Source organism: Homo sapiens, chromosome 3, assembly GCF_000001405.40.
Source record: "Homo sapiens chromosome 3, GRCh38.p14 Primary Assembly".
Taxonomy (NCBI): domain Eukaryota; kingdom Metazoa; phylum Chordata; class Mammalia; order Primates; family Hominidae; genus Homo; species Homo sapiens.
Window position 1 is genome coordinate 184,966,830 of NC_000003.12, and position 19,339 is coordinate 184,986,168.

A 19,339-nucleotide genomic window follows, 5' to 3' on the forward strand; every position below is an offset into this window, starting at 1 on the left:
GTTTATTCATTTTAACATGGATCCAAATTTTAGCTAATTTTCAAGAGTTCACAACAGGAAATCATAGAAACCATTGTGGCTTTGTGATGTTAATTTTCGGTGGAGTTAAATATACAGAAAATTATGCACTGTTTGTTGGTTATCTTTTTTTTTTTTTGACAGGCTTTCGCTCTGTTGCCCAGGATGGAGTGCAGTGGCACAATCTTGGCTCACTGCAACCTCCATCTTCCAGGCTTAAGCAGTCCTTCTGCCTCACCCTCCCAAGTAGCTGGGACTACAGGCGTATGCCATCACATTGGCTAATTTCTGTATTTTTTGTAGAGATGGGGTTTCACCTGTCACCCAGGCTGGTCTCGAACTCTTGGCTGAAGTGATCTGCACACCTCAGCCTCCAAAGGTGGTGAGATTGTAGACATAAGCCACCACGCTAGGCTGGTTATCTTTTTGTTTATACTTTTGCTATAACAAAAGTATGGTTTAGTTATGTTTAAATGAGGTATATAACTAACATCCTAAAAATTAATGTGCCAAACAACAGCAAATCAGAGCTTCTAATTAGTAGGACATTGAACATAGCCAATGTTTCCAAACCGAATTTATACAGTTTTAACCCAAAGCAGTAAAAGTTGACAATTTAGTATCTTGAGTGGTTTTGTCCTCAGCAAATACAAAATTTTCATCATATTCCTTGATATTTCAAAAAAAATTATTTTAATAAATTGTGGTGGCCAGGCATGGTGGCTCACACCTGTAATCCCAGCACTTTAGGAGGCCGAGGCAGGTGGATCACCTGAGGTCAGGAGTTCGAGATCAGCCTGGCCAACATAGTGAACCCCGTCTCTACTAAAAATACAAAAATTAGTCGGGTGTGGTGGCACACACCTGTAGTCCCAGCTACTTGGGAGGCTGAGGCAGGACAATTGCTTGAACCTGGGAGGCGGAGGTTGCAATGAGCGGAGATTGCACCACTGCGGTCCAGCCTGGGTGTCGCAACAGAGCAAAACTCCATCTCAAAAAAAAAAAAAAAATTAAATTATGGGTAAAATATACCCTAACATAAAATTTACCATTTTAACTATTTTTGAGTATACAGTTCAGTAGCATTAAGTATATTCACGTAATTATATAATCATTACCCCCATCCACCTCCAAATTTTTTAATCTCCCAAACTGAAAATCTGTACCTATAAAGCAACAGCTCCCCTATTCCCCTCTCCTCCCAGCCCCTGGCAAATACCGTCTTACTTTCTTTTTTCACCATTCTTTTTCTGAATTTGATTACTCAAGTATCTCATATGAATGAAATTATATAGTGTTTGTCGTTTTGTGACTTGCTTATTTAACTTACCATAAGGTTCATAAATGTTGTAGCATGTGTCAGAATTTTCTTCCTTTTTAAGGCTGAATAAATGCCATTGTATGTATAGACCACATTTCATTTATTCATTCATCCTTCAATGGACACTTGGGCCACTTCCACTTTTTGTCTATTATGACTAATGCCTCTATGAGCATGAATGTACAGTGTCTCTTCAAGAGCTGGCTCTCAATTCTTTTGGGTATATAACCACAAGTGGGATTGCTGGATCAAGCATTAATTCTGTTAATTTTTTGAGGAATGGCCATACTGTTTTCCCTAGTTGCTGCTTCATTTTACATTCCCACCAACAGTACACAAGGGTTCCAATTTCTCCACATCCTTTCCGACATTTATATTCTCTTTTTTTTAATAGTAGCTATCCATATGTGTGTGAGGTAGTATCTAATTATGGATTTGATTTGCATTTCTCTAATGATTAGTGATGATTTTCCTGAGTATTTTGGCTATTTATCTACCTTATTTGGAGAAATGTCTATTCAAGTCCTTTACCCATTTTTTAATTGGGTTGTTTGTTTTCATATTCCTTGACATTTTTAAAACAGCCCTCCTGAAGATCAGGGAATCACTTGGTGGGTGATTTTTAGATTATCCTCTTTAACACACGTTTCTTAGAGACTCCTTGGTCCACGCATTTCACTAACATACCATTTCCCTAATTCTCTGTAGATTACTTACCTATATTTTTGTATTAAGGTCCTAGATGATAGGGTCTATGTTGTTTTATGATCATCAGGTATTACAGTAAATCTTTTTGGAACATCAGTGAACATTTGATTGACTTTGTTATATTGATAGTTCAACTGGACACTTAATTACCATTTTTGTACTATCAGTATGTGTTTAGTCAATTTGGTTATGTTTGTTACATTTTGTGGCAATTTTAAAATTTTAGTGTTATAAGAATAACTTTTTGTTTTTTTCTGGGGGGACGGCGTCTCGCTCTGTTGCCCAGGCTGGAGTGCAGTGGCGCAATCTTGGCTCACTGCAACCTCTGCCTCCCAGGTGCAAGCGATTCTCCTGCCTCAGCCTCCCGAGTAGCTGGGATTATAGGTGCGTGCCACCACACCCGGCTAATTTTTGTATTTTTAGTAGAGACGGGGTTTTGCCGTTTTGGTCAGACTGGTCTTGAACTCCTGACCTCATGATCTGCCTGCCTCGGCCTCCCAAAGTGCTGGGATTACAGGTATGAGCCACTGTACCCAGCCCCACCCCCCCCCCTTTTTTTTTTTTTTTTTTTTTGAGATAGTCTTGCTCTGTTGCCCAGGCTGGAATGCAGTGGCGTGATCTCAGCTCATTACAACCTCCGCCTCCCGGGTTCAAGCGATCCTCCTGCCTCAGCTCCTTGGGTAGCTGGGACTATAGGCATGTGCCACCACTCCCAGCTAATCTTTGTATTTTTAGTTGAGATGGGGTTTCACCATGTTGGCCAGGCTGGTCTCGAACTCCTGACCTCAGGTGATCCACCCGCCTCGGCCTCCCAAAGTGTTGGGATTACCATCGTGAGCCACCACACCCAGCCAAAAATAACTTTTCAAGACAATACATGAAAGACAGAAAAAAATTAAGAAGAGCATTCCCCCAAAATCACTACAATCATTTGCAGGTGGTATGTTTGCAAAGGCCAGTGTTTTGAATTCCAGTGAAAATAAATTTTCCAGAAATAGTCTCATGCCTGCCATCTACTTTCTTACTTTTTTTTTTTTTTTTTTTTTTTTTTGAGACGGAGTCTCACTCCGTTGCCCAGGCTGGAGTGCAGTGGCGCTGTCTCAGCTCACTGCAACCTCTGCCTCCCAGGTTCAAGTAATTCTTCCTGCCTCAGCCTCCCGAGTGGCTGGTGTTACAGGCACCAGCCACCACACCCAGCTAATTTTTGTATTTTTAGTAGAGTTGGGGTTCCACCATCTTGGCCAGGCTGGTCTCAAACTCCTGACCTCAGGGTGATCCACCCACTTCGGCCTCCCAAAGTGCTGGGATTACAGGCATGAGCCACCACGACCGGCCCCATCTACTTTCCTATTCAATTTTGATAGTGTGCTTAAGTATTTGGGAGGATTTGCTAATTGTGCTTTGTTCCTATGGGCTATACACAGACTACTAAAACACAGATTCCCCTACCCACTGCACAAAGAACGTTAGTCTCCTGAAGGAGACAGATAAGTAAATAAAACCTTGTAGTACCAGTAGAATGGTGTGTCATAAAAGGTACACTGAGAGTGACTAAGGTGTGTGGAAAATTACAGAACTATTTGTAACCCATAAACCAGTGAGTTTTGTGGAAAACCTTTGAAGAAAGACTTGAAGGATAAATAGGAGTTTGATAGAAGCAGGAGAAGAACCTTTTAGGCTGAGGAAAACATGAACATGGAAGTGCCTGACTAGTAATCAGCGAGTAAAAAAGAATAGGGCAACACCAGAGCTTGGAGGGTGAGATGAGCCCAAGTCTTTGCTCTGTTTACTTAGTGTCAGATCCTTACTTACATTCTATTTTTCAGAATTAGGAGTCCTTGGTGGTTTTTATGGAAGGGACTGATCTGTTTGAACTTGTGCTTAAGAGAACCCTAGTGACAGTATATAAGAGGATGAGGGAGGCAAGATTGGGATGCCAAAAGTTCAACTAAGAGACTATTGCAGTAGCATAGACGAGGTGATGAAAAGCTCCACCAGGGTAAAAGTTGTGGTCATATGCAAGCACAGAAGTAGAATCAACAAATATTCGCAAGTTATCTGAATGTGTGGGGTGAAGGAGAGGGAAGCACCAAAGATGAAGATTTATAAACTGGTTGACTTAAAGATTATGATTCCATTAACTTGGTTTGTAAATGGAGGAGGAGGAGCAGATTTGAAATGAGAAAAATAAGTTGGGTTTTGCACATATAAAGTTGAAAGTGCTTGCAGGACATCCATGTGGAAATAAATGTCTTAGGTTCATTAGAAAATTCAACCTGTAGATTTTGAATGGAATAAAGATTGGAGATGTGTGTTTGAAAGTTATGAACAAAGATATGAGAGTTGAAACAAGAATGGCTGAAATCATTGAGAAAATGAAGAGAGACCTAAAATAGCATCTTGGGGGAAATATCTACATTTAAGAAATAGGCAGAAGAAGAGATAGTATACCAAGAAAGGTGAATGATAATCTCTCTAGTAACTAATCCTTAGACAGATGATTGGGGATTTTCCATATTTCCATAGCATATTGAAATGCTAAGTGTGATGTGCTTTATCTGTCCTACGAATGTAAAACATTTCTGTGGGAAACTCTTATTTCACGGAATAATCTGTTTTTTAATCTATAAAACATTAGCATCAGGTTTTATTAATTATTATATACTAGAAAATGAAGGTGATGCAAAGAAAAAGAAGTTTAACTTTTCACAGAGGCTCTGAGATTATCAGCAACATATCCTTAAATGATGTTTACACTTTTTCTAAATCTAGATACCAAAGAGGATCCCTCATTGAAGGATGTTGAAGATACTATGGTGGAGACCATTGCTCTTTGCCAGAGAAATTCACATAATTTGAACCAGCAGCAACGTGAGGTAGGAGAATGACTGTTTAGGTATTTAAAAGCCTGTACTTGGCCAGACATGGTGGCCCACGTCTGTAATCCCAGCACTTTGGGAGGCCGAGACGGACAGATCACCTGAGGTCAGGAGTTTGAGACCAGCCTGACCAACATGGAGAAATCCCATCTTTACTAAAAATACAAAAAATTAGCCGGGCGTGGTGGCACATGCCTGTAATCCCAGCTACTCAGAAGGCTGAGGTAGGAGAATCGCTTGAACCCAGGAGGCGGAGGTTGCGTTGAGCTGAGATCGCACCATTGCACTCCAGCCCTGGGCAACAAGAGTGAAACTCCATCTCAAAAAAAAAAAAAAGCCTGTACTTGTCTGAAACTAGGAATCAGTTCTGTTTCCACTGCCCTCTCAGCCACCCGGGTTTAATTCAAGTGGATTTTAATCACTTCTTAGTGTTCCCAGGAGTAGGAGACTCCCGAAGTTACTATAAAGAGTGTGTGGCTTCTTTGTTCTCACCAAAGGCTTTATATTCATGGTTTGGCTGTGCTGCAAAACTTAAGGTGCATGAATGCTAGATGTGCCTGTTCTCTTTGGACTGAGATTTTGTGTATGCCATGTAGTTGCACCAGAGATAGGTCATCATTTATCATCGTCTCTATTCCCTGTGGTGAAAGTAGGCATGAAGAACTGGAGGAAAGCCCTCAAGGGCTACAGAGAAAGCTGAAGAAAGGTTAAAGAAGCCTATGGTGTACTAATTCTCAACCTTGGTTGCACACTAGAGTCACCTGGGGAGCTTTGAACAATTCCAGTACTCAGGCTGCACCCCAGATCAATTAAATTAAAGTCTCTGGGGATGAAACCCAGCCACCACCATGTTTTAAAGCTCCCTTCATGATTCCAATGTGCAGCCAAGGTTGGAACCACTGCTATCACAGATCCCAGATGGCACAAAAGAAGAAAACAAAACTGAAGGAGGTATCGTTGAGCAGCAGGTGCAAGGTGGGAGTTACAGCAGTGAAGCAGAAACTAAGGGGGCGAGATGTGATTTGATAGTTAAATTCTGCAATAGTTTTAAGAAGTAAAGTTGTATCATGATATGGCTTAACTCTTCGCCTGCCCTTCCAGGGCTCAGGCCTCTGACTTGACACTGGCCTCTTTCTAATGCCTGGGTTTTTGAAATGGGGAACAGGTTAATTATATATCTATATTTAGCCATACATGTTACAATGAAAACAATAAATCATGGCATATTTTCTGTTCTTCTGAGATGAGTAAATTTCTCCTTTAAGTTTTTGTCCAGAATTTTTCAAGGTCATAAATTATGAAACGTCTTTAGAATGTAAATTGTGTATAACAAGCCTAGTTACATAAATGTGATTGCTTTTCTTTATTAAAAGAAACTGTCTGTGAAATGATACATACTCATCATTTTTAAAAATCATGAAATATAGAAAGTTATGCAGAAGAATGGGTTTTTTTAAATTAAAATATATTCATCCTGTCACTCAGAAATAACCATCATTATCATTTGGTGAACATAACTTTAGATATTTTTTGTCTGCCTAGGTTGATATAATTTTAGTAAAATTGCATTAAATAATGCTTGCTTTTAAAAATATAGTACTCAAAAAATGTATGTATATTACTCAGCTTCCCATAGGAAACTTAAGTAAAACTAAAGAATGTTCTTAATTGATGCATAATAATTATACATATTCGTGGGGTTAATGTGATATTTTGATACATGCATACAATGTGTAATGATCAAATCGGTTACTTAGGATATCTGTCACCTCAAACATTTATCATTTCTTTGTGTTGGGAATATTTTGAGTCTTCTAGCGGTTTTGAAATATGCAATAAATTATTGTTTACTATAATCACCCTACTGTTTTGTTGAACATTAGAACTTATTAAAATTCTATCTAATTGTATGCTTGTACCCATTGACAAATCTCTCCTCATACCCCCACCCATCCTTACCAGTTTCTGGTAACCATTCTACTCTATTCCTCCATGAGGTCAACTTTTTTAGCTCCCCACATGTAATTCAGAACATGCGATATTTGTCTTTCTGTGCATGGCTTATTTCACATAACATTATGACCTCCCCTTCCATCCTTGTTGCTGCAAGTGTCAGGATTTCATCCTTTTTTATGGCCAAATACCATTCTATTGTATATATTTACTACATTTTCTTTATCCATGCATCTGTTGATTGACACTTAGGTTGATTCCATATTTTGGCTATTGTGAATAAGTGCCACAGTAAACAGGGGTGCAAGTGTCCCTTTGATATACTGATTACAATATATTTCCTTTAGATAAATACCCAGTAGTAGGATTGCTGAATTATATTGTAGTTCTGTTTTTAGTTTCTTCAGGAACCCCCATACTGTTTTCCAAAATGGCTGTACTAATTTACATGCTCACCAACCATGTACAAGGCTTTCCTTTTCTCCACATCCTCAGCAAGACTCATCTCTGATCTTTTCTATCATAGCTGTTCTAAGAAGTGTGATGTAATGGCTCATGATGACTTTGATTTACACTTTCTTGATGGTTACCGACGTTGGAAGATTTTTTTCATGAGCCTGTTGGCCATTTGTATGGCTGACATCTTCTTTTGAGAAATGTCTATTCATATGCTTTGCCCACTTTTTAATTGGATTATTTAGTTCTTTTTTGCTATTGAGTTGAGTTCATTATATATTCTAAATATTAGTCCCTTGTCAGATGACTAGTTTGCAAATATTATCTCTCATTGTACATGTTGTCTCTTCACTCTTTGGATCATTTCCTTGCTGTGCAGAAGCTTTATAGTTTAACATAATGCTACTTGTCTATTTTTTTGTTTTCGTTACCTGTGATTTTGAAGTGTTAGCTGTAAAATTTTTGTCTAGACCAATGTCCTGAAGTATTTCCCGTATATTTTCTTCCAGTAGTTGTATGCATGTGGGCTTTACATTTAAGTCTTTAATCTATGCTGAGTTAGTTTTGTATATTGTGAGATATAAGAGTCTAGTTTCATTCTTTGCCATATGGATATCCAGTTTACCCAACACCATTTACTGAAGAGGGTGTCTTTTCCCTAATGTATATTATTGACTCCTTTGTGAAAAATCAGTCAGCTACAAATATGTGGATTTATTTCTGGGTTCTCTGTTCTATTTCGTTGGTCTATGTGTCTGTTTTCATACCAGTACTGTGCTGTTTTGGTTATTACAGCTTTGTAATATATTTTGACATCAGGTAGTATGATGCCTATAGATGTATCCTTTTTGTTCAGGATTGCTTTTGCCATTCGGGATTTTTTGTAGTTCCATATGAATTTTAAGATTGTGTTTTCTATTTCTGTGAAAAATGTTACTGGTATTTTGATAGGGATTGCATTGAATCTACACATTGCTTTGGGTAGTATTGTCATTTTAATATTCTTCTGATCCATGAGCATGGGATGTCTTTTTATTTGTGTATATTCAGTTTCTTTCATCAGAGTTTTGTAGTTTTCCATATAAAGGTCTTTCACCTCCTTGGTTAAATGTATTCCTAGGTATTTTGTTTTATTGTTTGTAGCTCTTGTAAATGAGATTGCTTTCTTGACTTCTTTTTCAGATAGTTTGTTATTGGTATGTAGAAATGCTACTGATTGTTGAATGTTGATTTTTGAATCCAGCAACTTCACTGAATTCGTTTATCAGTTCTAACAGTTTCTTGGTGGAGTCTTTAGGTTTTCATATCTATGAGATAATGTCATTTTCAAATAAGGACAGTTTGATTTCCTTTTTTCCAATTTGGATGCCTTTTATTTCTTCCTCTTGCCTTATTGCTCTAGCTAGGATTTCCAGTACTATGTTGAATAACAGTGGTAAAAGTGGGCATCATTGTCTTCTTCAAGTTCATAGAAAAAAGGCTTTCAGCTTTTTCCCTTTTGGTATGATGTTAGCTGTGGGTTTTGTTATATATGGCCTTTATTATGTTAAGGTGTGTTCTTTCTCTGCCTAATTTATTGAGATTTGTATCATGAAGAGATGTTGAATTTTGTCAAATGCTTTTTCTGAATTGATTGAGATGATCATGTGGTTTTTGTTCTTCATTCTGTTGATGTGATGTATCACATTTATTTATTGACATGTTGAATCCTTGCATTTCTAGGATAAGTCACACTTAATCATGGCGTATTACAGTCAACCCTTGAACAACACAAGGCATGGGGTGCCAACCCCCTTGCAGTTGAAAATTTGCATATGCCTTTGTCCTCCTTCCTCATTCCCCCTCTTGTATTCATCCATATCTATTGTTCCCATCATTACGTCCATGTATACCCAATGTTTAGCTCCCATTGTAATTATGTGTATATGTTTATAATTATTATACATTTCCATTTTTATGATATGTATGATGCCATGCCAATAATGAAATTCCCATGGACTCATACTTGCTTCCTACTCTCCTCTTCACATACCTACTAATTTTAATTAATCACAGTGTTTTACCTAATGAAGGTTTATAACACATTCTTTTCTGTGTCTATAATTTCCATAGTTGTTTAACTTTTATTTAGGTAGATCATACCAGTCTTTTTGTTACAATTTTTTTATTCCTAGATTTTTATTTTTATTCATCTTTTGATTGGCAGCCTGTATTTGGACTTTTTTTTTTGTTTTTTCATTTAACTTGCTCTTTCTTCCCCCCAACTTTTATTTTAGAATCAGACAGTACATGACTTTTTGTTGTGTCTCTGCCAGGTTTTGGTATCAGAATAATGCTGGCCTTTGTTACCTAGATATATTGCATGGTGGTGAGGTTTGGAGTATGAATGAATAATCTGTCTCCCAGGTGGTAAGCATAGTACCCGATAGGTAGTTTTTATTCAACTCTTATCCCCCTCCTTCCTTCTTATATTCCCCAGTGTCTATTGTTCTCATTTTTATGACCATATGCCCAATGATTAGCTCTCACTTATAAATGAGAACACGTGGTATTTGGTTTTCAGTTTCTGCGTTAGTTTGCTTAGGATAATGGCCTCCAGCTCCATTTATGTTGCTGCAAAGGACATGATTTCATTCTTTTTATGGCTGCATAGTATTCCATGGTGTATATGTAACACATTTTCTTTATCCAGTCCACTGTTGATGGGCACTTTCTTGAGTCCATGTCTTTGCTATTGTGATAGTGCTGCAGTCAACATATGGTACATGTATCTTTTTGATAGAATGATTTCTTTTCCTTTGGGTATATTCCAAATGGTGGGATTGCTGGGTCAAATGGTAGTTCAACTCTCGGTTCTTTTGAGAAATCTCCAAACTGCTTTCCACAGTAGTTGAACTAATTTACATTCCTACCAATAGTATATGTAAGTGTTCCCTTTCCTCCGCAGCGTTGTGAATGTCCGCTATTTTTTGACTTTTTAACAAAAGCCATTGTCACTGGTGTGAGATGGTATCTTATTGATTTGCATTTCTCTGATGATTAGTGATGCGTAGCATTTTTTTTCATATGTTTATTGGCCACTTGCGTGTCTTCTTTTAAGAAGTGTCTGTTAATGTCCTTTACCCACTTTGTAATGGAGTTATTTGTTTTTTGCTTGTTGATGTAAGTTCCTTATAGATTCTAGATATTAGACATTTGTCAGATGCATAGTTTGTGAATATTTTCTCTCATTCTCTAGGTTGTGTGTTTACTCCATTGATAGTTTCTCTTGCTGTGCAGAAGCTCTTTAGTTTAATTAGGTCTCATTTTTCAGTTGTTTTTGTTGCAGTTTCTTTTGAGGACTTAGCCATAAATTCTTTACCAGGGCTGATATTAAGAATAATATTTCCTAGGTATTCTTCTAAGAGTTTTATACTCTGAGGTCTTACATTTAAGTCTAATCCATCTTAAGTTGATCTTTGTATATGGTGATACATAGTTCCCTAGTTTCATTCTTCTGCATATGGATACCCAGCTATCCTAGCACCCTTTCTTGAATAGGGAGTCTTTTTCTCATTGCTTATCTTTTTTTTTTTTTTTTTGTCAACTTTTTCAAAGCTCAGATGGTTGTGGGTGTGGGTCAGCTTTTGGATATGTTGCTGGATTTGGTTTGCTAGTATTTTGTTGAGGACCTTTGCATGTATGTTCATCAGGAATATTAGCCTGATGTTTTCTTTTTTCTTTTTTTTTTTTTTTTATTGTGTCTCTGCCAGGTTTTGGTATCACAGTGATGCTGGCCTCATAGAATAAGTCAGGGAGGAGTCTCTCCTCCGTAATTTTTTTGGAAGAGTTTCAGTAGAATTGGTGCCAGGTTTTTTTTATATGCCTGGTAGAATTTGGCTGTGAATCCATCTGGTCCTGGCCTTTTTCTCATTGGTAGGCTTTTTATTACTGCTTCAATTTCAGAACTTGTTATATTGATCTGTTCAGGGTTTCAGTTTCTTTCTGGTTCCATCTTGGAAGGTTGTATGTTTCCAGGAATTTATTCATTTCTTCTAGGTTTTCTAGTTTGTGTGCATAGAGGTGTTTATAATAGTCTCTGAGGGCTATTTTTTATATTTCTGGGGGTCAGTGTTAATGTCCCCTTGTCATTTCTGACTGCGTTTATTTGGATCTTCTCTCCTTTTCCCTCCTTCCGTCATTCCTTCCATCCTTCTGTCCGTCCATCCGTCCTCCCTCCCTCCCTCCTTCTCTTCTTCCCTCTTTCCTTCCTTCTTTTTTTGTTTTTGAGGCAGGGTCTTGCTCTGTCACCCTGGCTGGAGAGCAGTGGTATGATCGACCTCCCAGGCTCAAGCAATCCTCCCACCTCAGTTTCCCAAATAGAGTAGCTGGGACTATAGGCACACACCACCACACCCTGCTAACTTTTGTGTTTTTGTAGAAACAGGGTCTCCCCAGGTTGCTCAGGCTTGTCTCGAACTCCTGGACTCAAGCAATCTCCCCACCTCAGCCTCCCAAAGCTGGGATTACAATTGTGAGCCATCGCACCTGGCCTCTCTTTTTCTTACTAGTTAGTGGTCTAGAAATCTTATTTATTCTTTCAAAGAATTATCTTTTGGTTTCATTAGTCTTTTATCTGTTTTTTCTTGTCTCAATTGTATTCAGTTCAACTCTGATTTTGGTTGTTTCTTCTCTAGCTTTGGGGTTGGTTGGCTCTTGTTTTTCTAGTTCCTCTAAGTGTGATGTTAGATTGTTAATTTGAGATCTTTCTAACTTTTCGATGTGGGCATTTAGCACTATAAACTTACCTCTTAACACTGCTTTAGCTGTGTCCCAGAGATTCTGGTATGCTGTATCTTTGTTTTCATTGGTTTCAAAGAATTTCTTGATTTCTGCATTAATTTCATTGTTTTTACCCAAAAGTCATCCAGTAGGGTTGTTTAATTTTCATTTAATTGCATGGTTTTGAGAGATCTTCTTAGTACTGATTTCTGTTTTTTTAATGTTGTGGTCTGGGAATGTGGTTGGTATGATTTTCATTTTTTTAAATTTGTTGAGTATTGTTTTATAGCCAGTCATGTGGTTGATTTTAGAGTATGTGCCAGGTGGAGATGGGAAGAATGCATATTCTGTTATTATTGGGTGGAATGTTCTGCAGATGTCACTTAGATCCATTTGGTCAGGTGTCACATTCAGGTCCTGAGTATCTTTGCTAGTTTTCTGCCTCGATAATCTGTCTGATACTGTTAGTGGAGTATTGAAGTCTCCCACTATTATTGTGTGATTATCTAAGTCTCGTCATAGGTTTCTAAGAACTTGTATTATATATCTGGTGCCCCATTGTTGGGTGCATATGTATTAGGATACTTAAGTCTTCTTGTTGAATTGAGCCCTTTATCATTATTTAATACCTTTATTTGTCTTTTTTGTTCATTGTTGTTTTAAAGTCTCTTTTGTCTGAAATTAGAATAGCAACCCCTGCTCTTTTTTATTTTTTTGTTTGCTTGGTAGATTTTTCTCCATCCATTTTCTTTGAGTCTATGGGTATCATTGCGTGTAAGATGGATCTCTTGGAAGACAGCATACTATTGAGTCTTGCTTCTTTATCCAGCTTACCACTCTGTGCCTTTTAAGGGCAGCATTTAGCCTGTTTATGTTCAAGGATACTATTGTTATGTGCAGATTTGATCCTGTCATCATGTGTTTAGTTGGTTGTTGTGCAGACTTCATTGTAGTTGCTTTATGGCGTCAGTGGTCTATGTACTTAAGTGTGTTTTTTGTGGTGGCCAGTAATAGTCTTTTGTTTCCATGTTTCGCTTGAGGACCTCTTGTAAGACATGTCTGGTGGTAACGAATTTCCTTAGCATTCATTGTCTGAAAATGATTTTATTTCTCCTTTGCTTATGAGGTTTAGTTTGTTTGGATATGAAGTTTTGGGTTGGAATTTTTTTCTGTAAGAATGCTGAGTATAAGCCCCCAATCCCTTCTGGTTTGTGTGGTTTCTGCAGAAAAGTCCACTGTTTGCCCAATGGGGTTCCCTTTGTAGGTGACCTGCCCCTTCTTTCTAGCGGCCTTTAGTTTTTTTTTTCATGTTGACCTTGGAGATCTGATGACCATGTGTCTCGGTAATGGTCATCTTGTATAATATCTCACAAGGGTTCTCTGCATTTCCTGAGTTTAAATGTCAGCTTCTCAAGGTCAAGAACCTAGCAAGGTTAGGGAAATTTTTGTGGACAGTATCCTCAAATATGTTTTCCAGGTTGCTTGTCCTCTCTCCCTCTCTTTCAGGAATGCCAAAGGTTTGGTGTCTTTACATAATCTCATATTTCCTGGAGGTTTTGTTCATTTTTTTTCTTTTTTTCTTTGTTTTTGCCTTTATTTTTTATTTGAAGAACTGGTCTTCATTTTTTATTTGAAGAACTGGTCTTTAACCTCTGAGATTCTTTCTTCAGCTTGATCTACTCTGCTGTTAATTCTCCCAATTGTATTACATGATTCTTGCAGTGAGTTTTTCAGCTCTAACAGATCAGTTTGGTTCTTTCTTAAAATGGCTATTTCATCTTTCAGCTCTTGTATCATTTTATTAGATTCCTAAGATTCATTGGATTTGGATTCAACTTTCTCCAGAATCTCAAACATCTTCATTCCTATCCAGATTCTGAATTCTGTATCTGTCATTTCAGCATTTCAGCATGCTTAAGATCCATTGCTGGGGAACTAGTGGGGTTGTTTGCTGTTAAGAAGAAACTCTGGCTTTTTGAGTTTCCAGAGTTCTTTCTCATCCGTATAAGCTGGTGTATCTTTAATATTTGAAGTTGCTGTACTTTGGATGGCATTTTTTGCTTTTGTATTCTTTGATGCCTTTGAAGGTTTGACTGTGGTATAATGTGGGGTCAGTCAACTGTCTTCATTTCCGGAAGATTTCAGGGGGCCAAGGCTCAGCTCAGCACTACTGAGCTGCTTGTTCTAACCCTGAGTGGCTGAGACCAGGCCTATGGCTTTGTGCTCTGGCCCCTCAGGCTTATGTACTTGCTGCATTGGAGGAGCTGAAATGTTTCTGGTCAGCTGGTAGCAATGCTCCAGTGGGGGCTGCCAGCTAAAGCACTTTGTTGAGGCAGTGGCTGCAGAGTCCAGAGTCCATCCTTGTGTGTGTGTGCCAGCAGCAACAGCGGCATGACAGGTGCACATGCTTGTGCCAGCATGGACAGCAGTGGTGTGGGGTGTGCTGCACACCAGCAGAGGTGGGGTGGCAGCGTCTTCATGGGAGCAGGGCAGCAGTGGGTTCTTTTTTTTTTTTTTTTTTTTTTGAGACCGAGTCTTGCTCTTCTTGCCCAGGCTGCAGTGCAATGGCGTGATCTCGGCTCACTGCAACCTCCGCCTCCCAGGTACAAGCGATTCTCCTGCCTCAGCCTCCTGAGTAGCTGGGATTACAGGCACCTGCCACCACGCCTGGCTAATTTTTTTGTATTTTTAGTAGAGACGGGGTTTCACCATGTTGCCCAGGCTGGTCTTGAGTTCCTGACCTCAGGTGGTCTGCCCGCCTCGGCCTCCCAAAGTGCTGGGATTACAGGCGTGAGCCACCATGCCTGGCCATTCATTAATAAATATTTTTCCTAAGGTTTAGGAAGAACACAGAATTTAGAGTCAGGTAATTGACTGGCTGTGTGATCTTTGAAAAATTACTTAACTTCAGTGAGCCTCAATTTCATATCTCTAGTGAAGATAATACCTACTGTATAAGGTTATTATGAGATTGAAATGCAAAAATGTAAATGTAAAGCATTTAATAGTGATTAACATAATATAAATAAATGATAGTTTTTTTTTTAATCTCTTGACATGGTTGATCATGTTAACTGATACAGTTTTAACTTCTATTTCCTGGTCCGTGATGACTTAGGAAATACAAGATAATGCTTGATGTAGAAAAAACTTTGGATAACCTTTACTCATTTTTCTTGCTTGACATAGCTAAAGGAAATTGGGTGGGGGACAGCTAGTGGGGGTGCTTATTTCTTTATGCAGCAATAGTGTTATTTTAAACTTTGTCAGTGATAAATTTTTAATAGAGTAGATAAGAATCTAGCAGGAAGCTCTTTCCTGGCTTCTTTGAACCTGCCCTCCCCTGAGACACATAAGATTGCAGTTCCGAGGCCTAGACTTACTTAACAGTGGCCTCCTTACGTTTCCCAGGGCTTCATGATAAAGATGCCTGTTCTAGCTGTGGTTTCTGCTTTGTATTGTCTTTTTTTTTTTTTGCCCCAAATATTTCCATTTTTATTTTTTCTAATGTTTACCAACAAATGTATGTGAGAAGTACGTTTCAACCTGTAAAACATCATGCTGATGTTAGTTATTCTTTTGTTTTTCATTGTTTTCTTTGACCACTTTTCTTTTTCTTTGATTTTCTCTGACATTATAGGCACTTTGGTTTCCGTTATTGGAGGCAATGATGGCCCCTCAGAAGCTGTCCAGTTCAGCCATTCCTCATCTACACTCTGAAGGTAAGTTCTTCAGAATTCAAGTGACTGAGTCCACCTGTATCATCAGTCCAATATTTGTCTGCAGAAACTATCAGTATAATATCTTTTTCCAATAGCATATTCTTATGATTTTTCCTTAATGAAACCATATAGTATGGTTGATCTCATCTTTCATGTTTCTTTCTGATGTTCCACTCATATAATTTATCTTAAGTAATTGTAGTCTTTGTAACTTGTCAACAGTTAATTTTAAAATATCAAAGAGGCCTTGGTTAGCTAAGTTTCTAAGAAGCTATATAAATGCACTGTTTTTCCACAGACTTATAGGAAAAACTGAAAACTCTTATTTTAAACTAACCTTAATGTTAATATTTTGTTATAACAGCTCTGAAGTCTTTGACCATGCAAGTTTTAAATAGCATGGCAGCATTTATTGCCCTTCCATCAATCTTGCAAAGAATCTTACAGGTGAGTTAAAAGGGGTGAATATTAAATATTGATTTCAACTAACATTTTAGTTATATATAAATAACAGTGAATTGGGCTAATATTTAAATGGATCTCAAGCATAATGCAGCTAATTTTTGGCAATAGCTAAATATCTAAATATCTAACTTCCGACCCTCATTCTTGAATCTTTTCTGTCAGTTTTTTGGTGTGACTTTGCCTGACATAAGCTTGTGACCTTCAGTTAGGGCGTGCGGCCTTCAGATATTCCCTGTTGCCTTGGGATTCAGATATACAAGTTTCCTATTGGTTTGCTAACTGGGAGGGAGTTATCAGCTGATTATAATTTTTAGATTCCAAAAAGATAATCTAAAAATTAATACAGGAATTTCCTAAGCATTGGTTGTTATTTAGGCTTTCTAACTCATCCTAAAATTATTTTTGTCTTGAATACTCATCCTTGACTCTAAATTCTAGCTGGCTTTGTGTCCAAAGCTTTTGTAGGAAGCATTATTTTGGTTTGCTTCTTTCAACAAAAAAGCCTGAACCTTCTCGGCTTCATCAAAAGAGAACACTCAAAATACTCCAAGATATATTTTTAGAAAAAAACCTGTGAGCATTCTTGGGGAAACAACAGGAATTATACTTAGAATCCATTTTGTCTATCCTCACTTTATTCAGTATAGGCATACATGTGCATGCACCCCGCCCCCCTCCCACACACATACAAAGCAAACCGTAATATGATGCCATTAGTCTTTATAATTTTCAAATGATTTTTATTCAATGAAGAATGTTCCTGTCAGCTCTTTTAAGACTCACCAAGCTTGGCCGGGCGTGGTGGCTCACGCCTGTAATCCCAGCACTTTGGGAAGCCGAGGCGGGCGGATCATGAGGTCAGGAGATCGAGACCATCCTGGATAACACGGTGAAACCCCGTCTCTACTAAAAATACAAAAAAATAGCCGGGCATGGTGGCAGGCGCCTGTAGTCCCAGTTACTTGGGAGGCTGAGGCAGGAGAATGGCGTGAACCCGGGAGGCAGAGTTTGCAGTGAGCCGAGATCGAGCCACTGCACTCCGGCCTGGGCAACAGAGCGAGACTCCGTCTCAAAAAAAAAAACTCTACTTCCCATCTGATATTAAGCTTCTGGGGCTTTTCTGATAAAGATGACTACATCCTGTAGTCTTTGTCATTACATGGTATACTATCATTTAGAATACTTTTTTTTTTTTTTTTTGAGACAGTTTCACTCTTGTTGCCCAGGCTGGAGTGCAATGGTGTGATCTTGGCTCACCGCAACCTCCGCCTCCTGGGTTCAAGTGATTCTCTTGCCTCAGCCTCCCGAGTAGCTGGGATTAGAGGCATGTGCCACCACGCCCAGCTGATTTTGTATTTTTAGTAGAGACCGGGTTTCTCCATGTTGGTCAGGCTGGTCTCAAACTCCTGACCTCAGGTGATCCGCCCGCCTCAGCCTCCCAAAGTGCTCGGATTACAGGCATGAGCCACAGCGCCCGGCCAGAACACATTTTTACATGTATTATTTCATTTGATCTTAGCAATTATCATGTGTTGAATAATTCTTTGATATAGACTGCTTCACATATCCATTTTAAAGCTCATTACTTATGAGGTTTCTAATCATGTATAAAGTAATATCTCCATAAGGGCAGGAATACTTTTCCAAGTAAGTTATAAGAAATGAAATCATAAAGCCAAATGGGTTCTCTCTGTGCTATACATTTTGCTTTATATTGAGCTTTAACCACACATTATGATATGTAAATTATAACAAAAACATGTTTTTCTCTTGGCAAAAACATGATTTTTAAAATTTTTTATATTTCAAGACTTTGGAATCTAGAAGTCTCTTGATATTTGAAAATCTTCACTTTATTTTGAGTTATACTGGCATTCATTATAATTTTTTCTTATCATTTTCTATTTTCAATGGTTGTTAACTCCCACTAATCAGGAAGGTATGCTATTTCTTAAATTCCTCATTTGCATGTTTGTGATTACTGTAATTATGCTACCTTATATATGTACAGAGATTTTTATTTTTCAAGGTGCTTTCACAGATATCATTTCATTTGAAGCCCACAACAATCCCTTGAGGTAGGCAGGGCTACTATAAACATTTCTGCTGAAAAAAGAAGAAACTGAAGTATAGAGAAGTTGAGTTCTTAGCCTATCATTAGCAGCAGAACCTGGACCACCCCCTAAGTCTCTCACTTCCTAATTCACGTTCTTTTTTATTATGTCATGTGAGCTTTTTTTATTTGTTTATGTCCCTGGTCTTTTGAGTTCATTATTAATTAAATATATTAATTGTATGTTATGCTGTTTAGATGAAAGGCATAGTTCTGAACCCATAAGAGCTCTTATTTAAGAGACAAAAAATGTGCTGATACAACTATTCATAGGGCTCTATTCAAGTAATAGTGGCCACCTTTAGGATTATCTGCTCTGAATCCATATAGGATAATTGCCATGCCTACATTTCTATACTTAATCTGTGTAAGAGCAGAAGGAGCTGTGGGAAAGTGTGACCCTGCCTCCTGGGTCCAGCTGATTGACTCGGGGTGAGCAAATGGCCTAAACAAGGCCAATCAGTGTGCTTTCCAGGACATTTTGGAACTGAACTTGGAAAAGATCTATAAGTCTCTCGTTAAGTCTCTGGATTACATCAGGTACAAATTTCAGGAACGGACAGTTCCTGTTTTTCCATTATATGGACTGGAAGAGTGAAAAAGCATAATCTGTAGAGAGAAGGAGACGAATGTAGTAGACACTAAGAAGAGACACACAAATGGATACAATGCATAAAGAGGATTCAAGACATAGAGACGAGGAGAGGAGACCATGTGGGGAGAAAAAGCTGATGCACATGAGTCTCTCATTGTGACTCTTAAGACTTACCAGCATTCCTCTTCTTAGATCTGTGAAATACCCTAGCATCTTTACAATAATTAACTTTTTTGAGTAAGTTAGATTGAGTGGTATTTATGGCTATATATGACCAAAGGAGTACCAATAAAAGTATATACCTGAAACAGAGTAGGAAATTTGGAAAGATTTCCTGGAAGAGGAGAT

At 38.2% G+C, this 19,339-nt stretch overlaps 1 protein-coding gene across 21 annotated transcripts in view; it reads left to right on the forward strand.

Annotated features, from left to right (window-relative positions):
- Positions 1 to 19,339, forward strand: part of VPS8 (VPS8 subunit of CORVET complex) — a 240,449-nt gene that overhangs the window by 154,664 nt on the left and 66,446 nt on the right. For all 21 annotated transcript variants that reach the window (NR_146113.2, XM_047447824.1, XM_024453426.2 and 18 more), the window contains 3 exons: positions 4,820 to 4,923; positions 15,737 to 15,818; positions 16,183 to 16,265. Coding sequence is in view for 20 of the 21 variants with exons in the window: in XM_047447824.1 (XP_047303780.1) it covers positions 4,820 to 4,923; positions 15,737 to 15,818; positions 16,183 to 16,265 (269 nt within the window). In the remaining variant the exon portion in view is untranslated. The remainder of the gene's footprint in view (positions 1 to 4,819; positions 4,924 to 15,736; positions 15,819 to 16,182; positions 16,266 to 19,339) is intronic.